Here is a 22,249-nt window from a genome sequence, read left to right as displayed (position 1 = left end):
TTTTTAGTAGGCCTGCCTATTGTAACCCATTCTTCCTCATCAAATGTGCTGTTTTGGGTCTTGTATATATCTATAGGTAGCCAAGTTTATTAACAGTTTGTGTAAACTAAAATTATTCAAGCTCTGAGTGAGGAACCATAGTAATCAGCAAATGATGTAGACATTAGCACACGAAGCTTGAGTCCTTCTTGGAGCTGTGCCTGCCTCCCTCACTCATTTTGCCAGGTTAATTTGTGTCTTTTTAAGATCTAACTTAAATGAAAAGATCTAAGTTAAATGAAACCTACCCCAGGAAGCACTCCATGAACGCCCAGCTGAAGTTACTTCTCCTGCCTCTGAACTTCCAAAACCACCAGATATGCCTGTCTCTGGGGTCACCACTGCCTTCCTTGGGTTATTGCCTTGGGGATGCTCCTTCGATTACTAAAGACAGGATTTGCACTTTTTGTCTTGATAAAGGCCCCCTAACTGGGGCTTTGTCTTTAATAAAGATATTAATGCTGTCCTGAAGAGAATTTCATCCTATCAGAAGGGGCAAACAGAAAAACGAGAAAGGAGAAAAAGTTGGTGGGAAAAGAAGTTAGGGAGGAAGGTGAGGTCAGAGAGGAGGAGAAAGGAAAGCTGGAAGACCTTTCAGTTCCTCAACCTAGTCCATTTTCCCAAAGTAGCAGCAACACAAAGTCAGGGGCCATTTCTGGCATTTCCCAAGTCTCTCGCTAGATTCTATCCAGTGACTGCCAACAATGTAGCCAGCTGCCACAAGAGCTGGGACAGAGCATGGATACTGGGATAAGCTCACCAGAAAAGTGGGCTCATCCCAGTGTCCATGCTCAGGCCCAGCTCTGGTGGCATCCCTGCCCACCACAAAAGACACCAAAGGGTGGAGGCTCGGCTGCCGGGAGACTGCTGGGGGGAGGAAGCAGCCCCAGCTGGCAGGAAACAATACACTCCTGTGGCTGCAGACTCTTCCCTTTCCTGCCTCTTGGCAGCCTGGCTCCATAGCGCTGAGCTTGTCCTGGGCTGAACTCATCAGAGGCCCTCCCGCTTTTAGACAGGTATTCAAATGAATGAATGATTTATTCTAAAAAACTTTGTTTAAAAATATGGTTTCAGAACTTTCTCTGTTCCTCTCACTCTCATGCTCACCAATGCCAGTATAAGAAAACTTCAGGCCAGTTTGAAATCAACATCAAAGCAATTAAACGTTGGTTGGACTCCCAATATACGTCCTGTGAATATCCCTGTTTTGGAACTTTCTACAACTTGTCTTCTTTTAGATTTCTTGTTGAATGCATTGATTTGCCTCACAAGACATGGACTCTGATTCATCACAGCATTGTCCCAATGTGTGCATCATGGCACATCCACAAAGAGTATCTGCCCTTTTAGCTCCTGGCGCCTTGACTTATAAGGCTACTATAGTGATGCTGTAGTTATAGCCTTTTAAGCACCTACTTTCTCATATTCTGGCAACAGCATCACACTTTTCCTTTAGGGAACCACCGCTCCCACTCTCAATCCATGTAGTAAGAAACTGTCTTCTTCATGTAAGTTCCAGCAGTGGAGTAGATCCAGGCTTAACCAATCAGCATATCTAACTTCAATAGCCACTGAGACTGAATTATAGATAGTTGCATGCCCATTTCAGTACATGGAGAATTGATTCTTGGATTGTTGCCAAAATTACTTGGGGGAAAAAAGACTTTTGATTAAGGTTATTCAATGGATATGATACAAACCTGCAGCTGCTGAGAGGCACCCAGGAAGAGATGCCCAAAAACTTACAAGGGATGTGAAGGACCTCTTCAAGGAGAACTACCAACCACTGCTCAAGGAAATAAGAGAGGACACAAACAAATAGAAAAACATTCTATGTTCATGGATAGGAAGAATCAATATTGTGAAAATGGCCATACTACCCAAAGTAATTTATAGATTCAATGCTATTCCTATCAAGCTACCATTGACTTTCTTTACAGAATTAGAAAAAAAAAAACTACTTTAAATTTCATATGGAATTAAAAAAGACCCTGTAGCCAAGACAATCCTAAGCAAAAAGAACAAAGCTGGAGGGATCAGGCTATCTGACTTCAAACTATACTACAAGGCTACAATAACCAAAACAGCATGGTACTGGTACCAAAACAGATATATAGAACAACGAAACAGAACAGAGCCCTCAGAAATAACACCACACATCTACAAGCATTTGATCTTTGACAAACCTGACAAAAACAAGCAATGGGGAAAGGATTCCCTGTTTAATAAATGGTGATGGGAAAACTGGCTAGCCGTATGCAGAAAACTGAAACTGGACCCCTTCTTTACACCTTATACAAAAATCAACTCAAGATGGATTAAAGATTTAAACATAAGACCTAAGACCATAAAAACCCTAGAAGAAAACCTAGGCAATACCCTTCAGGACACAGGCATGTGCAAAGACTTCATGACTTCATCACCAAAAGCAATTGCAGCAAAAGCCAAAATTGTCAAATGGGATCTAATTAAAGAGCTTCCGCACAGCAAAAGAAACTATCATCAGAGTGAACAGGCAACCTACAGAATGGGAGAAAATTTTTGTAATCTATGCATCTGACAAAGGGCTAATATCCAGACTCTACAAGGAACTTAAGCAAATTTACAAGAAAAAAACAAACAACCCTATCAAAAAGTAGGCAAAGGGTATGAACAGACACTTCTCAAAAGAAGACATTTATGCAACCAATAAATATATGAAGAAAAGCTTGTCATCACTGGTCATTAGAGAAATGCAAATCAAAACCACAATGAGATACCATCTCATGCCAGTTAGGATGGCGATCATTAAAAAATCAGGAAACAACAGATGCTGGAGAGGATGTGGAGAAATAGGAATGCTTTTACACTGTTTGTGGGAATGTAAATTAGTTCGACCATTGTGGAAGAAAGTGTGACGATTCCTCAAGGATCTAGAACTAGAAATAACATTTGACCCAAATATCCCATTACTGGGTGTGTACTCAAAGGATTATAAATCATTCTACTATAAAGACACATGCACATGTATGTTTATTGCAGCACTATTCACAAAAGCAAAGACTTGGAATCAACCCAAATGCCCACCAATGTTACACTGGATAAAGAAAATGTGGCACATACACACCATGGAATACTATGTAATGATAAAAAAGAATGAGTTCATGTCCTTTGCAGGGACATGGATGAAGCTGGATACCATCATTCTCAGCAAACTAACACAGGAACAGAAAACCAAACACTGCATGTTCTCAATCAGAAGTCGGAGTTGAAACTTGAAGTGGGAGTTGAAATGAGAACATGTGGACATAGGGAGGGGAACATCACACACCGGGGCCTGTTGGAGGGTGGGGGGCTATGGGAGGGATAGCATTAGGAGAAATAACTAATGTAGATGACGGGCTGATGAGTGCAGCAAACCATCATGGCACATGTATACCTATTTAACAAACCTGCACGTTCTGCACATGTATCCCAGAACTTAAAGTATAATAAAAATAAATAAATAAATAATTTTTTAAAAAATCCAACCATGTGCTACATAAAGAAACCCACCTAACTGGTAAAGACGTTTACGGAGTCAAAGTAAAGGGATGGAAAAAAAGAAAAAGAAAAAAACAAGAAATCTACATAGAAGAACCATAGCTGAGAGAAGACATGCATAGTTCTGATTTTCTTACTTAGTATTTGTTGAAATTATTCAGTTATATTCCCCAAATATGCTTTTCTGCTTAGCCTTCTTTGTGTTGGGTTTCTGTTAGTGGCAATCAAGAGTCCTCATTAATATAGATATAGAAATAAATGCAATATAAAATTACTATATTTATAATTTTGTATAGTTTACAAAGTACCATCGTATGAATTATTTCATTTAAACTTCATAATAATTTTTAAAAGTGGCCATTAGCGTGCTCCCCATTTAATACATGAAAAAATGGACGTTAATCAATTTACCCAAGCTGCGGTAGCCAGTAGGTACCTGAGTCAGAGTTCAAATATCTTATTCCTATTCTGAATCCAGTGGCACCCATTTTGTTTCAGGGAAATTACAATCAAGTACAGGAGACAAGTTTAGCCCGTATATAAAGTTAATATAACAGTAAGATATAACTAATGAGGTAGCATTTGTTGGTCAGTAAAACTGATGGTCCCTTCGTGTGTTCAGAGGGTAGACAATGCTGAGGCATGGCCAGCATTAGGGGAATATACAGGGGAGAAGGGATGGCACCGTTGATAAATTTCCCCAGAGGATTTTACAACATGTTGGGGTATGAGATTCGGAAAGGCCTTTAAAATTTTCTATTCCAATCTCATCTTTTTACAAAAAAAAAAAAAAGCAAGATTGGTAAGAAAAGGGGGTTTGTTATTATTATTATTATCGGTCATTCCTTGATTATCTACTAACTTTCAGGCTCTGTTTATACACAGCATTGCCAATGCTTTCAACAACATTGCAACATAAGTATTTTTACCTCCACTTCACAGATTTAGAAAACGAAACTCAAAGTTTCTTCCCTTGGTTCTTTTGTACAAGCTGTACTCTGATTTCTTTTTTGTTGTTATTGTTGTTCTTTTTTTATTATTATTATACTTTAAGTTTTAGGGTACATGTGCACAACGTGCAGGTTTGTTACATACGTATACATGTGCCATGTTGGTGTGCTGCACCCATTAACTCGTCATTTAACATTAGGTATATCTCCTAATGCTATCCCTTCCCCCTCCCCCACCCCACAACAGGCCCCAGTGTGTGATGTTCCCCTTCCTGTGTCCAAGTGTTCTCATTGTTCAGTTCCCACCTATGAGTGAGAACATGCGGTGTTTGGTTTTTTGTCCTTGCGATAGTTTGCTGAGAATGATGGTTTCCAGCTTCATCCATGTCCCTACAAAGGACATGAACTCATCCTTTTTTATGGCTGCATAGTATTCCATGGTGTATATGTGCCACATTTTCTTAATCCAGTCTATCATTGTTGGACATTTGGGTTGGTTCCAAGTCTTTGCTATTGTGAATAGTGCCGCTATAAACATACGTGTACATGTGTCTTTATAGCAGCATGATTTATAGTCCTTTGGGTATATACCCAGTAATGGGATGGCTGGATCAAATGGTATTTCTAGTTCTAGATCCCTGAGGAATCGCCACACTGACTTCCACAATGGTTGAACTAGTCTACAGTCCCACCAACAGTGTAAAGGTGTTCCTATTTCTCCACATCCTCTCCAGCACCTGTTGTTTCCTGACTTTTTAATGATCACCATTCTAACTGGTGTGAGATGGTATCTCATTGTGGTTTTGATTTGCATTTCTCTGATGGCCAGTGATGATGAGCATTTTTTCATGTGTCTTTTGGCTGCATAAATGTCTTCTTTTGAGAAGTGTCTGTTCATATCCTTTGCCCACTTGTTGATGGTTTTTTTTTCTTGTAAATTTGTTTGAGTTCATTGTAAATTCTGGATATTAGCCCTTTGTTAGATGAGTAGATTGCAAAAATTTTCTCCCATTCTGTAGGTTGCCTGTTCATTCTGATGGTAGTTTCTTTTGCTGTGCAGAAGCTCTTTAGTTTAATTAGATCCCATTTGGCAAATAAACTAGAAAATCTAGAAGAAATGGATAAATTCCTCGACACATACACCCTCCCAAGACTAAACCAGGAAGAAGTTGAATCTCTGAATAGACCAATAACAGGCTCTGAAATTTAGGCAATAATTAATAGCTTACCAACCAAAAAAAGTCCAGGACCAGATGGATTCACAGCCAAATTCTACCAGAGGTACAAGGAGGAGCCAGTGCCATTCCTTCTGAAATTATTCCAATCAATAGAAAAAGAGGGAATCCTCTCTAACTCATTTTATGAGGCCAGCATCATCCTGATACCAAAGCCAGGCAGAGACACAACAAAAAAAGAGAATTTTAGACCAATATCCTTGATGAACATTGATGCAAAAATCCTCAATAAAATACTGGCAAACCAAATCCAGCAGCACATCTAAAAGCTTATCCACCATGAGCAAGTGGGCTTCATCCCTGGGATGCAAAGCTGGTTCAACATGCGCAAATCAATAAATGTAATCCAGCATATAAACAGAACCAATGACAAAAACCACATGATTATCTCAATAAATGCAGAAAAGGCCTTTGATGAAATTCAACAACCTTCATGCTAAAAACTCTCAATAAATTAGGTATTGATGGGACGTATCTCAAAATAATAAGAGCTAACTATGACAAACCCACAGCCAATATCATACTGAATGGGCAAAAACTGGAAGCATTCCCTTTGAAAACTGACACAAGACAGGGATGCCCTCTCTCACCACTCCTATTCAACATAGTGTTGGAAGTCCTGGCCAGGGCAATCAGGCAGGAGAAGGAAATAAAGGGTATTCAATTAGGAAAAGAGGAAGTCAAATTGTCCCTGTTTGCAGATGACATGATTGTATATCTAGAAAACCCCATCATCTCAGCCCAAAATCTCCTTAAGCTGACAAGCAACTTCAGCAAAGTCTCGGGATACAAAATCAATGTGCAAAAATCACAAGCATTCTTATACACCAATAACAGACAGAGAACCAAATCATGAGTGAACTCCCATTCACAATTGCTTCAAAGAGAATAAAATACTTACAAATCCAATTTACAAGGGAGGCAAAGGACCTCTTCAAGGAGAACTACAAACCACTGCTCAATGAAATAAAAGAGGATACAAACAAATGGAAGAACATTCCATGCTCATGGGTAGGAAGAATCAATATCATGAAAATGGCCATACTGCCCAAGGTAATTTATAGATTTAATGCCATCCCCATCAAGCTACCAATGACTTTCTTCACAGAATTGGAAAAAAACTACTTTAAAGTTCATATGGAACCAAAAAAGAGCCTGCATCGCCAAGTCAATCCTAAGCCAAAAGAACAAAGCTGGAGGCATCACGCTACCTGACTTCAAACTATACTACAAGGCTACAGTAACCAAAACAGCATGGTACTGGTACCAAAACAGAGATATAGACCAATGAAACAGAACAGAGCCCTCAGAAATAATGCCACATATCTACAACTATCTGATCTTTGACAAACCTGACAAAAACAAGAAATGGGGAAAGGATTCCCTATTTAATAAATGGTGCTGGGAAAACTGGCTAGCCATATGTAGAAAGCTGAAACTGGATCCTTTCCTTACACCTTATACAAAAATTAATTCAAGATGGATTAAAGACTTACATGTCAGACCCAAAACCATAAAAATCCTAGAAGAAAACCTAGGCCATACCATGCAGGGCATAGGCATGGGCAAGGACTTCATGTCTAAAACACCAAAAGCAATGGCAACAAAAGCCAAAATTGTACTCTGATTTCAACTCTCCTTCCTTTCCTTGTCTGAATGAGGAGCACCTACTCATCTTTTAAGACATCTTTGAAGATCTCTTTCATAGCGACTTATCTGTCCTTCACAGTTTACTATACTTCTCCCTCAACTCAAGTCCCAGCTACTCCTATCAAAGCACAAAAGTGTATTAAACTTAGAGGTCTTTGTTCAGACATCCATTGGCCCTCTACTAGACTGTGGTAGCCAGTAGGTACCTGAGTCAGAGTTCAAATATCTTACTCCTGTTCTGAATCCAGTGGCACCCATCCTTGTTTCAGGGAATTTACAATCAAGTACAGGAGACAAGTTTAGCCCATATATAAAGTTAATATAACAGTAAGATATACCTAATGAGGTAGCATTTGTTGGTCAGTATCTAACCTTGAGGTTAGATATGATGTTTCACATGTCTTTGTTTCCTAGTGCCTAGCACAACACTGGCAGAGCAGGTGAAAAAGAAAGAAAAAAAGAGAAGAAAAAACGGAGGACCACAGGTTTAGACTTAGGGAAATGTCCAAAGTTATAAGGTAGAGAAGGAAAAAGCTACGAAGTTTTTAGAGAAGGCCAGGATGCAGGTATAGGAGAACCAGAGTAACGTTAAATTTCAAGAGGTACTAGAGGTAAAATTGTCAAAAATATGCAATGCTGCAGAGCGGTACAAGACAATGGGACTGAAGAAAAGGTCACGTAGTGAATAACTATGCTGTTTTTGCAATCTGCTGGTAATTTCTCAGAGGAAATTATCAGGGGTTTGAATTATTGAGAGAAATGTTTTTCTCTGAAGGCAATCTGAAGGATCTATGAAGTTGAGCAATGGTGTAATTAAACTGCAATGTCTAGTTTGCCTAAATAGCCTACGTTGAAAAAACCTTCAGGGCTTCCGGTTTCCATGCTCAGAGCAGGGACTGGTTGTATCGGCTAAGCTTTCACCGGGGAAAACCCAGAGCAATGAAGGTGACGCACATTTCATATGCCAAGGAAAATAGGATTCAAAACCAAGGTATAGGCTGAGCTGAAAATGAGCTTCACAAAGCCTTAGCTAAACTCACAGGTGAGAGATTCTTAATGAATGACTGTAGGGAATCTAGATATCTAGGAGCTACACTCCTAATTTGGTTGTTGCAGTCAGGGAGACAAACCAGGCTCTTCCGCAAAATGCCCTCCATCGCCTCTGTCAGAGACGCAGTGCCAGGATGAATTAGCTTTGCGTTCGTTCCCAGGAAGAGGAACGAACAATGAGCCAGAAGACCAACTTCTAATTTCAGCACCTCTGTTTACCAGATGTGTGATGGTCAGACAAGATATTTCCTCTCTCTGAATCTCTATTTCCTTATCTACAAAGTGGATAGTATAATAATACTTTCCCGCACAAGGTTGGTGTGGGAATCTAGTAAGACACTGGCCTTAAAAATTATTTAGAATTCTTTGTTATACCAATATTCAGTATAGTAGATGTGTTTTTGTTATTGGTAAAGACAAAATGTCAAAATAGGCCTTAAAGTTTGCAAACCCAACCCACATGATTCAGTCCTTTTCCATTTTTTTCTGACCCTTAGGATTCATTAATCCTGGTGTAAGTATCTGCTGGGATGCAGACTTTCTTTTGCAGTCTTTCATTATCTGTTTGTTGAATAACTGTTATGTTATTCATAACATAACATTGTTCTAAGCACTAGAAATATGAAGGGAACAACAACAGTAACAAATAAAAATAATAATAAATACCCAGCATTCCTTAAGCACTTTCTATGTTCCAGATTTGACATATACCAACTCATTTAATCTTTTTTACATCACTATGAGGTAGGTATATTTATTATCTTCATATCAGAGGTGAGAAAACTAAGACTTGAAGAAGTTCAATAATTCACCCAAAGCCAGATGGTGGATAAGCAGAAAAGCCAGGAACTAGGACTGGCCCAGGTCGCCTGGCCCCAAATCCTGCACATTTCACCATTGTGCTATGCTCCTACAATAGTCATGGTCCCTACACTCGCGGAGCTCACACAGTAACTGAGGATACACACAGGTCAGCAGCCAAATACAATAACTGCCTCCAAGGAGGAATTCCTGGAGGGGCAACCGCTCTCAGAGAAAAGAATTCTGTAAGTCTATTGATCAGCACTTGGAAACCAGGCTCTGATAGACAAGGCAGTACCTCCCTCTAACCACATGCCTTGAATCTGAATATTTGCCTCTGAAATATATACAGCCTTTTAGTTCTAACCATAATACAACCTCTTCCATGTATGCAATACGTCACGACCTATTTATAAGGTATGTTACATCCATGGTCTCATTTGCTCCTCCCAGCAGTGATGTGAGATGGGTGGGCTTGGGACTATTATCCCCATTTTATACATGAGGAAAGTAAGGCCCTGAGAAACAAGGTCACTTGTCCTGTTATTAACTTAGTAAGTGGCTGGTTATCAGATTCATGTCCAGCCTTCACTCCCATATTTGCCCTCAAGAGCATATCATCTATCATCTCAGTTTAAAGCTTTGACAGCGTGAATTACTTCTCTGGTCAAACCTGCAGATATTTCAGAAGAGGTTCCAGAGTGGAGTTTTGAAGTTCTGCTTTCCACAAATGTATACTTTTTTTTTTTAGGTAAAGCTACTTTGCAGTGTCTTTTGTCGCTTACATCTAAGTTCTTTCAGGCTCAAAGTTTAGAGAATTTTGTACCCTCAGGATTACTTAGCCATTGACTTGGATCACCTCTGACCTTGTCTAAGGTGATCATCTAATGTGATGATTTTGGTCATTTTAAAACATTGCTAGCCACAGTTCATATCATTTAAGGAGGCCTGGCACAGGCAGAGAACACGGGTACCGGAAATGTACCATTCCTATTTCCAGGGCAAGGAGAGCCTGGCACAGGCAGAGAACATGGGTATCGGAAATGTACCATTCTTATTTCCAGGGCAAGGAGAGCCCTCCAAGCAGATTTTTCCATGAGCCTGAACTTGAGAACAGCATTAGGATATGAAATTGATTTCCAAGCATCATGAAAAAACGTCTCCAGAGACTCTGAACACATTCCTACTTGCTGAGTATAGCCGAGATAATTTTAAATTCTAGAGTGCAGTTTTATTTCTACCTTGTATCTCTTTTTTTTTCTTCCTCACCAAAATCATCCAGCTATCTAGCCAGGAGCAATGCCAGGTAGGCAGTAACTTTTATGGTGATTGACACTTGGAAAGGAACAAAAATACTATTACTGACTCTTGCATATCTCAGTAGTCATGAAGGATAAGAAGGTTATGAAAGGCTGGATTCTATCCAGGGGCTTGAAAACTCACAAAGTCGTTAATTTAAGGCCCATTCCCTTCTACATTTTATCCAGAGTTGTTCATATAACCAAACATCCTTGAGTTTGATTTCTGTTCCTCCTGGGTACATCACAGCATGCCCGAGAATAACTAAACTAAGTATTAGTATTTTTAGGTGACCCAGGTTGAAATATGTTGTGATCTTATTTATCAAACTCAAAATTTGAATATGTAATCTGACAAGTATGAATAACTTTACGGTGACAAAGGCGCTGATATTCACTGAAACCTGTAAAACCAAAACCCTGACCACACTATGATCACCACAAGGCAGGTGGGTGGAAAAGGGCAGGGCCAGGCAAACCGCAATTTGTACACATATCTTGAGAACTCAAGGATATCAGAACAAGCCATGGAACATCATAATTGTATAAATGAGAGCTACTGAAATCCCTACTCTATCATCCAAGGTTATCCTTCGAAAAGCACGGCTCCGATCTTGACATTCAGCAGCTTAAAATTCATCCCTTTCCATCTCACTCATGAATGCTTCATGTTCTCTGTCTCTAGGCTGTTGTACACACTATTCCCTCTACCTTGAATGCCCCTCTCTAACTTTTTCCCCCTGGCAAACTCCTACCTCCTATTCTCTGGCAAGCACAGAGGTTAATCTCTCTGAGAAATCTTCCCTGACTACCAGTACAGATAGCTGTTCCTTCCTCTGTGTTCCCTTACCACTTTGTACTGGCCTCTAGGGTTGCATTAAGCATGTTGCATTGCAATTTTTTACAGGTCTTTCTCCTTCACTACATTAGACCAAAATCATGCCTTCTATAGCCTCAGTATCTTACACGATGGCCAGCAAATAGCAGGCACTTAAATGTCTGACGAAAGAAAGAAAAGAGCTTTTCTTTTTTTTTCCCCCAAAAGAGGAAAGGAAGAAGGGAGGGAGAAAAAAGAAATGGAAGGTGGAAGGGAGAGAAAGAAAGAAGGAGAGAGAGGAGAGGGGAAGAAAGAAAGGAAGGAAGGATGGAAGGAAGGGAGGGAGAAGGGAAGCAGGAGGAAACAGAACAAGGAAGGAAAGGAACTTTATTTTCCCAAAGATAATCCTATATGAGATAGTAATGATTTCTCCTACCTCTCCACATATATGGAGAATCCATATTTATTTCAGTATCTCGATTAAGTGGCTTATTTGGATCTAATAAGACATTTATTGACTCTTGGTTTTCTATCAATTTTGAAAAGGCCTCTAGAAGATTTAATAAAGTATAGAAAAAATAAATAAGTGTACAGGTAATAAACTCTAGATTACATAAGCAAACATTATTTAATTACATTCCCATTAATATACTAACTCTGTAATGAATTTTTGAGCCATTTAATTATCAATTTGACAAGATAATCTAGGAGTAGTTAATGATTATACCAGTAAATTGTTTAAAAAAATCACTGACAATTATTAAGTCTCATAACAGACATCAAATTAACTTGCTAGAGCTGTCTGGTTAAATAGACAGCAGTTAATTATGAGGTATTTACACATGCCTCAAATTTTAATATGCAAGCCTTTTTAATAGTGTAACGTCAAAGGTGTTGTGTAAGGGAGCAGTTTACCCATGGGGAATACTCAAATTCCATGCAGTGTGGCCACTAAACAAGCAAGAGCATGATCTTAGATGCTTTGGCTGGGTTTTCCCGGTTTTCATCCTGGAACAGGAATATAGAGCTCCCTAAAAGAGGAAAATGACTGTCATACACAGTCAGGCTTGTGAGCCATTTGACTAGGGGATGTGGTCAGATTACAAAGGTTTAGGGTAACATTTGCCCCCTTACATGCACTAACGATGGGTCGGACCTGTGCAAGATGTTGTATATAAACTGCCTCCTTTAATAATCAAAAAATAGAAAATCCCACATCAATAGGCAGATTTTCCTCGAAAAGCTTAGTAAGAGAGGGAGAACGAAGAATCATATATACCAGGCCACTGAAATGGCTTCATCTTAGCTTAAAATGGCAGCCGGAGGCTGTCAGCCACTCCGGCTGGAACTAGACAGAGGGCAATGGTCTCACTGTTGAAGACATAAGCCCAGTCTAAGATCCTCTGCTTTTCAGGAGTCCAGAGTACCTATGTTTCAACTTGTCCTCTACCCACACTCTGTGGTTCCAGGAGACCCTGTCTGACCCCACGAATGGGTCAGTTTTCATTCAATGAGCAGTAGAGAGGAGAAACTTGATAAAGCACGCTGACCCTGATCCTCACAGTTCCAGATTTGAAGTTCTTTCTTGAAACTGCCTTCTCCACTGCATATTTCACCATCATTTTTATATGTGATTTATGCTTCCCCATCAAATTGCAAGTTTCTTGGGTCCTACTCCTCCCTCACAATGCCAAACACAGTGGCTATTGATGCAAACTAAACATTCAAAAAAATATTTCTTGAGCTGAAATGAATTAAACTGAAATGAATTGGAGTGAATCAGATTGCCGTGGATGGGACTGAACTAAACTGAATGGGACCTTGTAAGAAAGAAGAACAGATTCTAGAATTTATATTTGACTTTGGTTTCTCTTAGGCCAAAGCTGTTTCAGTGATAATAAGGCAGCATGAGGGCTGTGCATGGATTCTGTGGCCAGAATGTCTAGGTTCAAACCTCAGCTCCACCACTCACAACTTCTGTGATGTTGGATAAGTTACTCAACATTCCTGTGCCTCCCTGAGTAAAGCAACAATAATGATAGTACCTGCCTCATAGAATTGCTATAAGGAATCCATTCAATGAATTAATTGTTATAAATCCCTTGGAATAATGCCTAGCACATAAAACATACAATATAACTTTTTTAATAAAATAATTTTTAAAAATCACTACTTTGAATTGCATTGCATTTTACATGTGGCAACTCATATTTCATCCGTATAAGAAGAATGATTTTCATTTATCCAATAAGAAAACTGAGGCTCATAAAAACAAATGCAGAATAAGAACTCGAGCAGGACATACACTGTTGTAGAAGTTGAGCCCAGTTCTGTCTTATTTAAGGCATGCTTTCAGTTCAGTAGGCACCCTTTCCTTATGATATCTCTGGCCATTTTAACAGGTAGTTCTGACTATAGTGTATGCTATTGGTCACCTGATAGACAAGAGTTATGTAAAGTCACAGTATCCTCAGTATTATCGGAATAAGCTTTCTCTTACCCGGTGCTCACGAAAGCAAAGGATTTTAGTCTGGGTAAAGATGAAAGATCTATGACATAGTGTGACAGAAAAAGCCCCAGTAAGGAAGTTGAAAAAAGTGAATTCTGGCCCTGGCTCAACCACTGGCTTCTGTGATATCAATAACTAACATGTACTGAGAGCTTACTCTGTGCCATCTACTGCATTTATATCATTTAAACCTCACCACAAAACTCAGGCACAGATACTTTTATTATGCCACTTTTCAGGTAAGGAAACTGAGGTTTAGCAAAGACAAGTAACTTATTCAAGATCAAATTGCTTTTAAGTGGTATAATTCATCTTAATGATCTCAAAGGTACTTTCCAACCCAGTCCACCTATAATTGAGTGAGCTCTTGCCTAATCCTCACTCCTCTAGAGGGGTGATCCTGTGGTTCTAGCCAACTTTAAGTCAAATCCCAGGCACCTCAAGGCCTCCCAGGATGCCAGTGTTGAAAAACTGGTGAATTATTGCATAATGTGGGGTTTTACAATCATCGAAAGAATAAAACAGAAAAGAAAAATTAGCAAAAGGTAAAGCCTTAAATCTTTCCCCGTTCATACATTTCATACCTTTATTTACAAAGTTGGTAATTGTGAAGTTCATTCCATTTTGTATTTTTCTTTCTTCACTTAAAATACTATCATGAACAATTTTCCTTATTGATAATAGTTATATTTTAGAATTACAGAATTTGACTATGAAATTTTCAAGGTTCATTTCTAATTCCAAAAACAAAGTCTGGCCTGTTCTTATTTTTTTGGACTTTTTTCCTTCATTCCAACAGAGTCATTGTAATTACTACATGAGTGACGAGCAATAACCACCAAATGATACTTGGCCAAAATATCACAATAAAATGATTACCTTGTTGCTAAATATTTAAGTTGCTTCTAGTGTATTTGGCTAAAATATCACAATAAAATGATTACCTTGTTGCTAAATATTTAAGTTGCTTCTAGTGTATTTGCTATTACACATAATGCTGCAATGAACATCTTTGCACAGCATATTATTTCTATAACATGCATTCCCCAGAAGACAAGGCTACAACGAGTGTGTCCATGTTTATGGCTTTTACATTTTGAAAAAGCAAGATGTAATATTGATAGTGTCCACATATGGCCCTACACTGTTCAAATCTTAAGACATCAAACATTGGATCTTGTTCTAGATCCTGAGTGACTATTACTGAATTGCTAAAGTGAACAAACATTAATTTAACAGAGGGTTTGAAAGCTGAATTCTTGGGGCCTAGTTCAGAGACAAAGCTTACTTACTGTCAAGGGGAAAAGGATCTGCGGAAAGTGCCTGCAAAAAGGAGACTTATGGAAATAAAAACGGATCTTACAGGAATTGTTGAAAGACCAAATCCTCAGGAGATTAGCACTCAGGAGATATTAAGTAAACCAGTTTTCCTGGATCTCACTCTGATATCTGAATCTTAATACTAAAGAAATACTTTCACCTATTACAGTTCAGTGTCAGCTAATCAGAAATTTTGGCTAAAGCTAGGAATCATATAAATACATATATTTTAACTTAAGACTTTCACTTGCCAGTAGGTAGAGCCAAGGCCTCTCTTTAAGTGCACATTTTCCATTTGTGAAGCTCCATCTCATTTTTCTTGAATAAATCACTCCCATCATGCATCCTCTATTAGTTGAAGTTTCAGGTATTTTTGTTTTTGTTTTCTTTTCTTTTGTTCTTTGTAGCAGATAAAAACCTTAGAAACTTGCACAATTATTCTGGATTTTAATCTTTGTGTTATTCTTCTACAGTTATCTCATCCACAAACTAATTTTAGATCATTTTTTCAGCAATTCTTCCCTCTTGAGCCTTTCCAAAGCAATCAATTTAATTTTTATGGACACAGTCTCTTTATTTTTATACTTATATTTCATCTATTTGCATAATATTTAAATTATATAATTGCATTTACTAATAAAAGTAGCATAAACGGGTTTGAGGAAAAAATCAGCTGGTTCTTTGTATGCATCAGATTTGATTAATGGGAGAAGACAGACATCAGGAAACTAGAAAGCAGCCTACCACCCATGAGCACTTAGCATGCTATGAGCATCTGTCAGAATGTACAAAGGGAATGGAGAACTTAGGTTGGTTACCTGAGAGAGAGTTACATCTACTGAACAATTAAGTGCTCCTCATCACGAAAGAAAAGGAAAGAATGCGGACTGAATCCTGTGCCCTGAAAGTCGAATCAGCATATACCTGCTGTTTCTATGTCACCAAGAGGCTGATTCCAGGTGGGAGACTCTGGAAGATGAAGCGATTGGATCTTGAACCCAGAGCACCAGCAAAAGGTCCTGAGTTCCATAACAAGCTTTACTCCAGAGTCGCTGGTGTTGGGGAAATATTTGTAGTCATTTGGTCTAAGTTCCCTTGTTTTAGAATTAGACAATTTGACTCTCACATTTCTAAGGTTCGTTTTTAATTCCAAAACAAAGTCTGGTTGTTATCATTCTTTTTGGCCTTTTTCCCTTAGGTCCAATGCAGAGACGATGACCACTAGGGGTCAGACTTTTTACATTACTCCTCTTGAAAGAAGGAACCCAAGTCTTGGATTTTTTAACTGGGGAAAAACTAGAGAGGTCGTCTATCCTGGTAAGTAATGCTTCATTTAAACTCATTCAACATGTGTGACTATTATATTCTTAAAGATTTCTAAGAAATAGAGGTTTCATGATGCTCCCTTCCAAGGAAGTTTTTGATATCTAACCTAGATCCTTCAAATGTAATTTCAATCTATTTCTTATTTGTGATGTCTCAGTGGAAACTATTAATCATTGACTATTATCCTCTGAGTAAGAAATGTATTTATCTGAGCATGTATCAGTTCATGTCTCATTTCTCTAGCTGTCAAATAGGGGTCTAGGACTAGAATCACTTTTTCAATTAATAGTTCAATAAATAAGCAAGAAAAATAAGGTTCCAACTTAAATAACTCAAAATCAAACTGCCAGTCAATGGCTGGGCCAGGATTAAAATTGGGTTTTACATAACTCCAAAGTCCACATTGTTCTCACTAAGAACACTTCTTGCTGTCTCTTACTTAGTGCTCCTGCTGGCCTCTGGCTACTTGGGAGAACCATCGGCCTTTTCATTTAAAAAAAAAAAAAAAGTGAAAGTGGGGGATGAAGAAAGAGGGTCCCCTCAAGCTGTAATGAAGCAGTCACTTCCTTGGTCATCTAGACCACTGCGGTGATGGGCTGAAGTTAGCTCAAGAAGCCATCGGCATCTCTCAGTGCAGGTTTTGACATGAAATGGCAACATTCAGGCTTTGTAGAAGAAGCTGAAGGCAGTAAACTCCAAGCCAGAGTAAAAATCAAGTGTGTTCTGATGTGTTGGATCAAAACTTGGGAACCTCATGTGCTCTATCCTACCCCTGATAACAGCTGCAAATGTTTGTTTTTTTTTCTCTAGCATCTGGCCGGCCCATGTGTAAACAGAATGAAGAGTCAGCATGGGGAAAGAATCTGAATGCCCCGTTTCTCAGCCTCTTAAGGATACAGTGAAATGGGACAGGGTCTGAGTTAGGAAACTCTTTGAAATTACACGGAGATTCAGGCAGCAGCTCCCAATGGCACTATAGAATCTCTCACCTATAAGTCCCTTTTTATGCAAGAAAGACAGTTAAACAAAGGTAGTGTTGGGTAGTGGTAAGAACAGTGGATTGAGAATTGGATGACTCAAATTCCAAATGAGGCTCCTATAATAACTGACCGTGAGCCTTTGGGAAGACTATTCTTTCTGGGTCTCATTTCACCATCTGAGTTATAAGATGGCGGAGTCTTCTCTAAGGTTTCATCCAGCTTTACTTTTCAACTTTTTGGCATAATTCTAGCTGTAAAACAGGGGTCTAGGACTAGAATCTACCATATTGCTATGTTTATTCAATAGGTATATTCCTAGCTACTGTTTCTTCCTTTGACTAAATGACACTTTAAAGGTTATATCAACTCCCCCAAATCTTTTATGTCGCTTTACCTTGTCTCAATCCTAAACAACAAGTTAGGACTAACATCAGTGCTAAAGATAGAATTCAACCTATCAATTATTGTTTCTGTTCAAAAGCTAATTATTTAATCAGGGTCTTCCACTTGTTCAAAATTATAAGCAGATTAAGTGCTGAGCATGATTTTTAATGTGAAACATATGACTTTGGTATTCAAATGTACTTTTAAAGTTTTCAATATCTTTTCAATTTCTAAAAAGTAGATCAGAGTAAAATTTTTTTAAAGTAAAGATACTATTAGCTTTGATAAATGAAGTACAAACTAAATAACATATTATGAATTTGTAAATTCATATACAAATATACCTTGAAAGCTAAGTAAAGAATGTTGACTTAATTTAGCAGGCAATGAATGGAAGAAGGTTTCTAACTGAAGGAGTAATTACAATCTGAGACTAGAAACTGAGTTATTCCAAGAAATTACTCTTTGTAACCCAGCAATTAAACCTCTCAAAGAAGGCAGAATTCTTAGTTTTATGCCCATTTCACTGGATTACATTTCCCCTCTTTAAATTCTATTTTTTCACCACATCGTGATCCTCTTAAGAAAAGTTGTCAAAGAAATGGAAATAGAAGGAATGAGAAATAAAAGTCAAGAAGACATTGTAGACTTGATCTGTCTTATTTGGAGCTTGTATTTAAACAGAGGTACTTTTCATCCTTTCAGAGTTCCAGTTGGCCCCACTTCCAAGATGGCTGAGGATGTTGGCTCCTGCTCCATTCCAGCAGAGGGCGCTCTTGGAGCAGGATTGGGGATGGCAGTGGGAAACTGGGAGGACAATCTGAGCCTCATTCACCAGCCACTTAAGTTTGGTGTGAATCTGAGTCCTTCTGGACTGACCTAAAAGACAGCTCATTGGTCCGTGCCTTACAGAATTCTATTCATAGTCTAGTTAAACTCTGATGAAGACCCCATTTTCCAGCTCTACCTTCTCTGCTTACTGTAGAGAAAAAAGTGACTAAATTATCCTCAAGAAATAGAAAATAAGTTAAGAAATGTGACATCTGGGCACGTGCACAGAGGAGCTACTGAGGACTGAGAAATCAGGAAAAGGTTAGCCAAAATAGGTGTGTGTGAGAGATGTCAAAACTGCTTAGCAAAATCGCCTGTCTACTTTCTACCTCGTCTTCCAGAAGGGAATTCATAAATTTTTTTAAAAAGTAGTAGCAATATCATGGGCAGAGCCCAAATAATGACACAAAATGAATCTTGTACAATTGGCCCTTTGTATCCATAGGTTCCACATCCATGAATTCAACCAAGTGTCGATGAAAAATATTTGGAAAAATAAATGGAAGGTTGCATTTGTACTGAACATGTAGAGATTTTCTTGTCATTCTTCCCTAAATAGTACAGTATAACAACGATTGACATAGCATTTACACTGTATTATTATGAGTAATCTAGCAATGATTTAAAGCATATAGGAGGATGTGCGTAGGTTATATGCAAATACTACACCATTTTATATGAGATACTTGAGCATCCCTGGATTTTGGTATCCTCAGAAGATTCTGGAACCAATCCCTCAAGGATACCAAAGGATGACTATACTAGGAATGAATAGCTGAAATCCATAAAGGTTTTTGAGCTCAAGAATGATGTGAGCAAAGCTTAGCAACTGGGTTGCCTAGCAAAAGATTTATCCATTGCAACCCAGGGACTGAGCTCCAACTTGTAGCAAAAAAAAAAAAAAAAAAAACAAAGAGCACCAAGGAGCAGTGGAGATCTGGGCTGTAGCCCTAGCTCCAAGACTTCTTGTCTCTGTGTCTTTGGCCAGGTTCCTTGGGTGCGTCTCTTCAAGCCTCAGTTTCTCTGTCCATCAAGTGTGGGAGCTAAACCACATAACCTGTCAGATTCATTTCATATTTTACATTTTGAGTCTGTGCGTTTGTAGCATATTAGAACAGTAATTTAATTTTTCCTCAGGGAATCCATGGAAGGCAGGTTAAAGGTAGCTGACCATTTATTATGTCATTCTTCAGTGAATAGACATGTCCCTGAGGGAAGAGAAGAGCTCTTCTCAGAGACTTCCAGTCGCATCCTTCCCTCCAATCGACATATGCCCTCCAGTCATGAGCAGTGGGGGTGTGGTGTGGGGCTAAGGGTGAGGAAGAGAGTATCTATTTCTTAGCTGGTTTATGGAATCCAAGGTGGAAGTGGAGTTTGATCAGTCACTCAGTGTAGACTGACTTTGGGGCAAATAGAAAGCGAGCACTAGAAGAAGCTTAAGAGCTCAACTGCTCTTCCCTATCATTTAGTAAATGCTAAAATGTAGATCTCAAGGCCACACAGTAATTGGTAGAATAAACCTGGATTATGGTGTTTTTATAGGCTAAATGTAACCTCCAGCATATAACCTCCTCACTTACTAATCCCTATATCTCTACCAGAACTATTTAGATTTTCTCCTCCTGCTCATCACTAGATTTTTGCACTGCTTAGAGATGATCACAATCTCTTTGATCCTTCTCACACAAAACTTCACCTCATATATAGGAGCAGTAAGGTAATAGTTTCAGTGGAATCTGCTGTCTCTTGTGATGCTCTGAAATTTGGATCTTTTGCCTGAACTAACATCTTAGGAGGGCTTCAGTCAGTTCACCATTCGTAAGTGGATTTATTTCTTCATTTCGTGCACTAACTTGGGTCCAAGTGAACCTTTATTTATTTATTTACTTACTTACTTATTTACATAAACCTACTTGAAAAGATATATGAGGAAGCTTATAATAAAAATCACAAGTATTTTTAAACCCAACTATAAAACAGGAGCACAAATGCAGTTATACTTAAACCTAAGTAGATCCACCCAAATTTTTAATGATTTTTTTTTTACTATATAAGTTCACTGATGAATTTTCCATCTGAAACTTTATATAAAGCAACTTAACAGATGCTATCTTTATAACACCATTATAATAAAGGCTCTTCTATGTACCAATGTTACAGCAAACCTTGGTAAGTGTCGGAGGTGTACTATCAAGTTGTACTTTGAAGATAGAGTTCTGGGGCCTCCAAGCCATGTAGTCCTCATTGATATAAAACTTCCTGAAAATTTAATAGGAAGATACAGACAGATTTGAAATATCTTGAGAAATAGCTAGTTTGCAAGAACCCCTATGCAGTCTTTCGTTTTGTTTTGTCTTGTTTTGTTTTTGAGACAGAGTTTCGCTCTTGTCACCCAGGCTGGAGTGCAAGGGCATGATCTCGGCTCACTGCAACCTCCGCCTCCCGAGTTCAAGCAACTCTCCTGCCTCAGCCTCCCAAGTAGCTGGGATTACAGGTGCCTGCCACTACGCCCAGCTCATTTTTGTATTTTTAGTAGATTCAGGGTTTCGCCATGTTGGCCAGGCTGATCTCAAACTACTGACTTCAGGTGATCCGCCAGCCTCGGCCTCCCAAAGTGCTGGGATTACAGCCGTGAGCCACTGCGCCTGGCCAGTCTTTTCAAATATTAGCTCTCTCAGCTGAACTAGGAAGTAGACAGCAGACACGTCTAGACAGAGGTCGCTGGCCAGGCCCTAAAGTGCAGATGTGCTGTGCTGTGGCCTAAAGAAAGATACCCAGAAAGTTCTTCAGACCTGCTAGAGATCGTGAGGCTGCTCAGGCTTCCTCCCTAAAGAACAAGGTCTCTGGACTTGGCTTTGTGTCTAACAAAGCAGTTACCGCATTCCCACCTCTTCCCCTGACCCAAACACACACACACCCTCCACACACACACGTCAATATGACAAGCTGTTTCCTCATGTTCTTTAGTATAGAATCACAGCATATTAGACCAATTTGCTGTTTAACCCATCTATTTAACAGATGAGAAACTGAAGCTCAGACAGAGGGGAGCTGCCATTTGCTTACAAGGTGACAGACCCCAGCTCCCATTTCTGCCCCTCCATGAAACAGTGTCTCACTGAAACACACTGTGGGTCGTGCCATGCTCCTGCTCAGTCACCTCCACTGATCTCCCATAACCCTCAAGGGAGTCCAAACACCCCAGCCTTGGCATCAGAGCCCTCCACAGAATAGCCTTATTTGGGTTTCCATCCCAGTCTCCATGTTCTTCTTCTTGATTGCTGGCGAGTGATCTCCTCAAAGGTCTCCTGCTCCCACGTAAACAGACCAGACTCATTCGCATCTCCATCTCAACATGGATTCTCCTGCCCATTCCCACGTTCTGAGAGCCTGTTCTCAGTGAACTGGGATGTCCAGAAACGAAGCAAGGTCATAAAATGGCTTCGCATACCCTCCACGTGTGCCTCTTCAGAGCGTCAAAATCACACTATGGCTTATTTTTACTTTTAATAATATTTTTGTGTGTAATTAGCAAGG

The 22,249-nt window shown here is 39.1% G+C and overlaps 3 annotated features.

Moving 5' to 3' along the window:
* Positions 15,764 to 16,298: an enhancer, noted in NCBI's record as "NANOG hESC enhancer chr3:188674939-188675473 (GRCh37/hg19 assembly coordinates)". NCBI's record gives its function as "activates a minimal SCP1, AML or CMV promoter by ChIP-STARR-seq in primed H9 embryonic stem cells {active_cell/tissue: H9 hESC(primed)}" and the evidence as "EXISTENCE:reporter gene assay evidence [ECO:0000049][PMID:30033119]".
* Positions 15,954 to 16,248: a silencer, noted in NCBI's record as "tiled region #8956; HepG2 Repressive non-DNase unmatched - State 13:Ctcf". NCBI's record gives its function as "represses a minimal TATA promoter and a strong SV40 promoter by Sharpr-MPRA in HepG2 cells {active_cell/tissue: HepG2}" and the evidence as "EXISTENCE:reporter gene assay evidence [ECO:0000049][PMID:27701403]".
* Positions 18,614 to 18,908: a silencer, noted in NCBI's record as "tiled region #11355; HepG2 Repressive DNase matched - State 12:CtcfO". NCBI's record gives its function as "represses a minimal TATA promoter and a strong SV40 promoter by Sharpr-MPRA in HepG2 cells {active_cell/tissue: HepG2}" and the evidence as "EXISTENCE:reporter gene assay evidence [ECO:0000049][PMID:27701403]".

This window comes from Homo sapiens, chromosome 3, assembly GCF_000001405.40.
Source record: "Homo sapiens chromosome 3, GRCh38.p14 Primary Assembly".
Classification (NCBI taxonomy): Eukaryota; Metazoa; Chordata; class Mammalia; order Primates; family Hominidae; genus Homo; species Homo sapiens.
The sequence above is the reverse complement of the archived record's forward strand: the minus strand, read 5'-3'. Positions and strand labels throughout refer to the sequence as shown.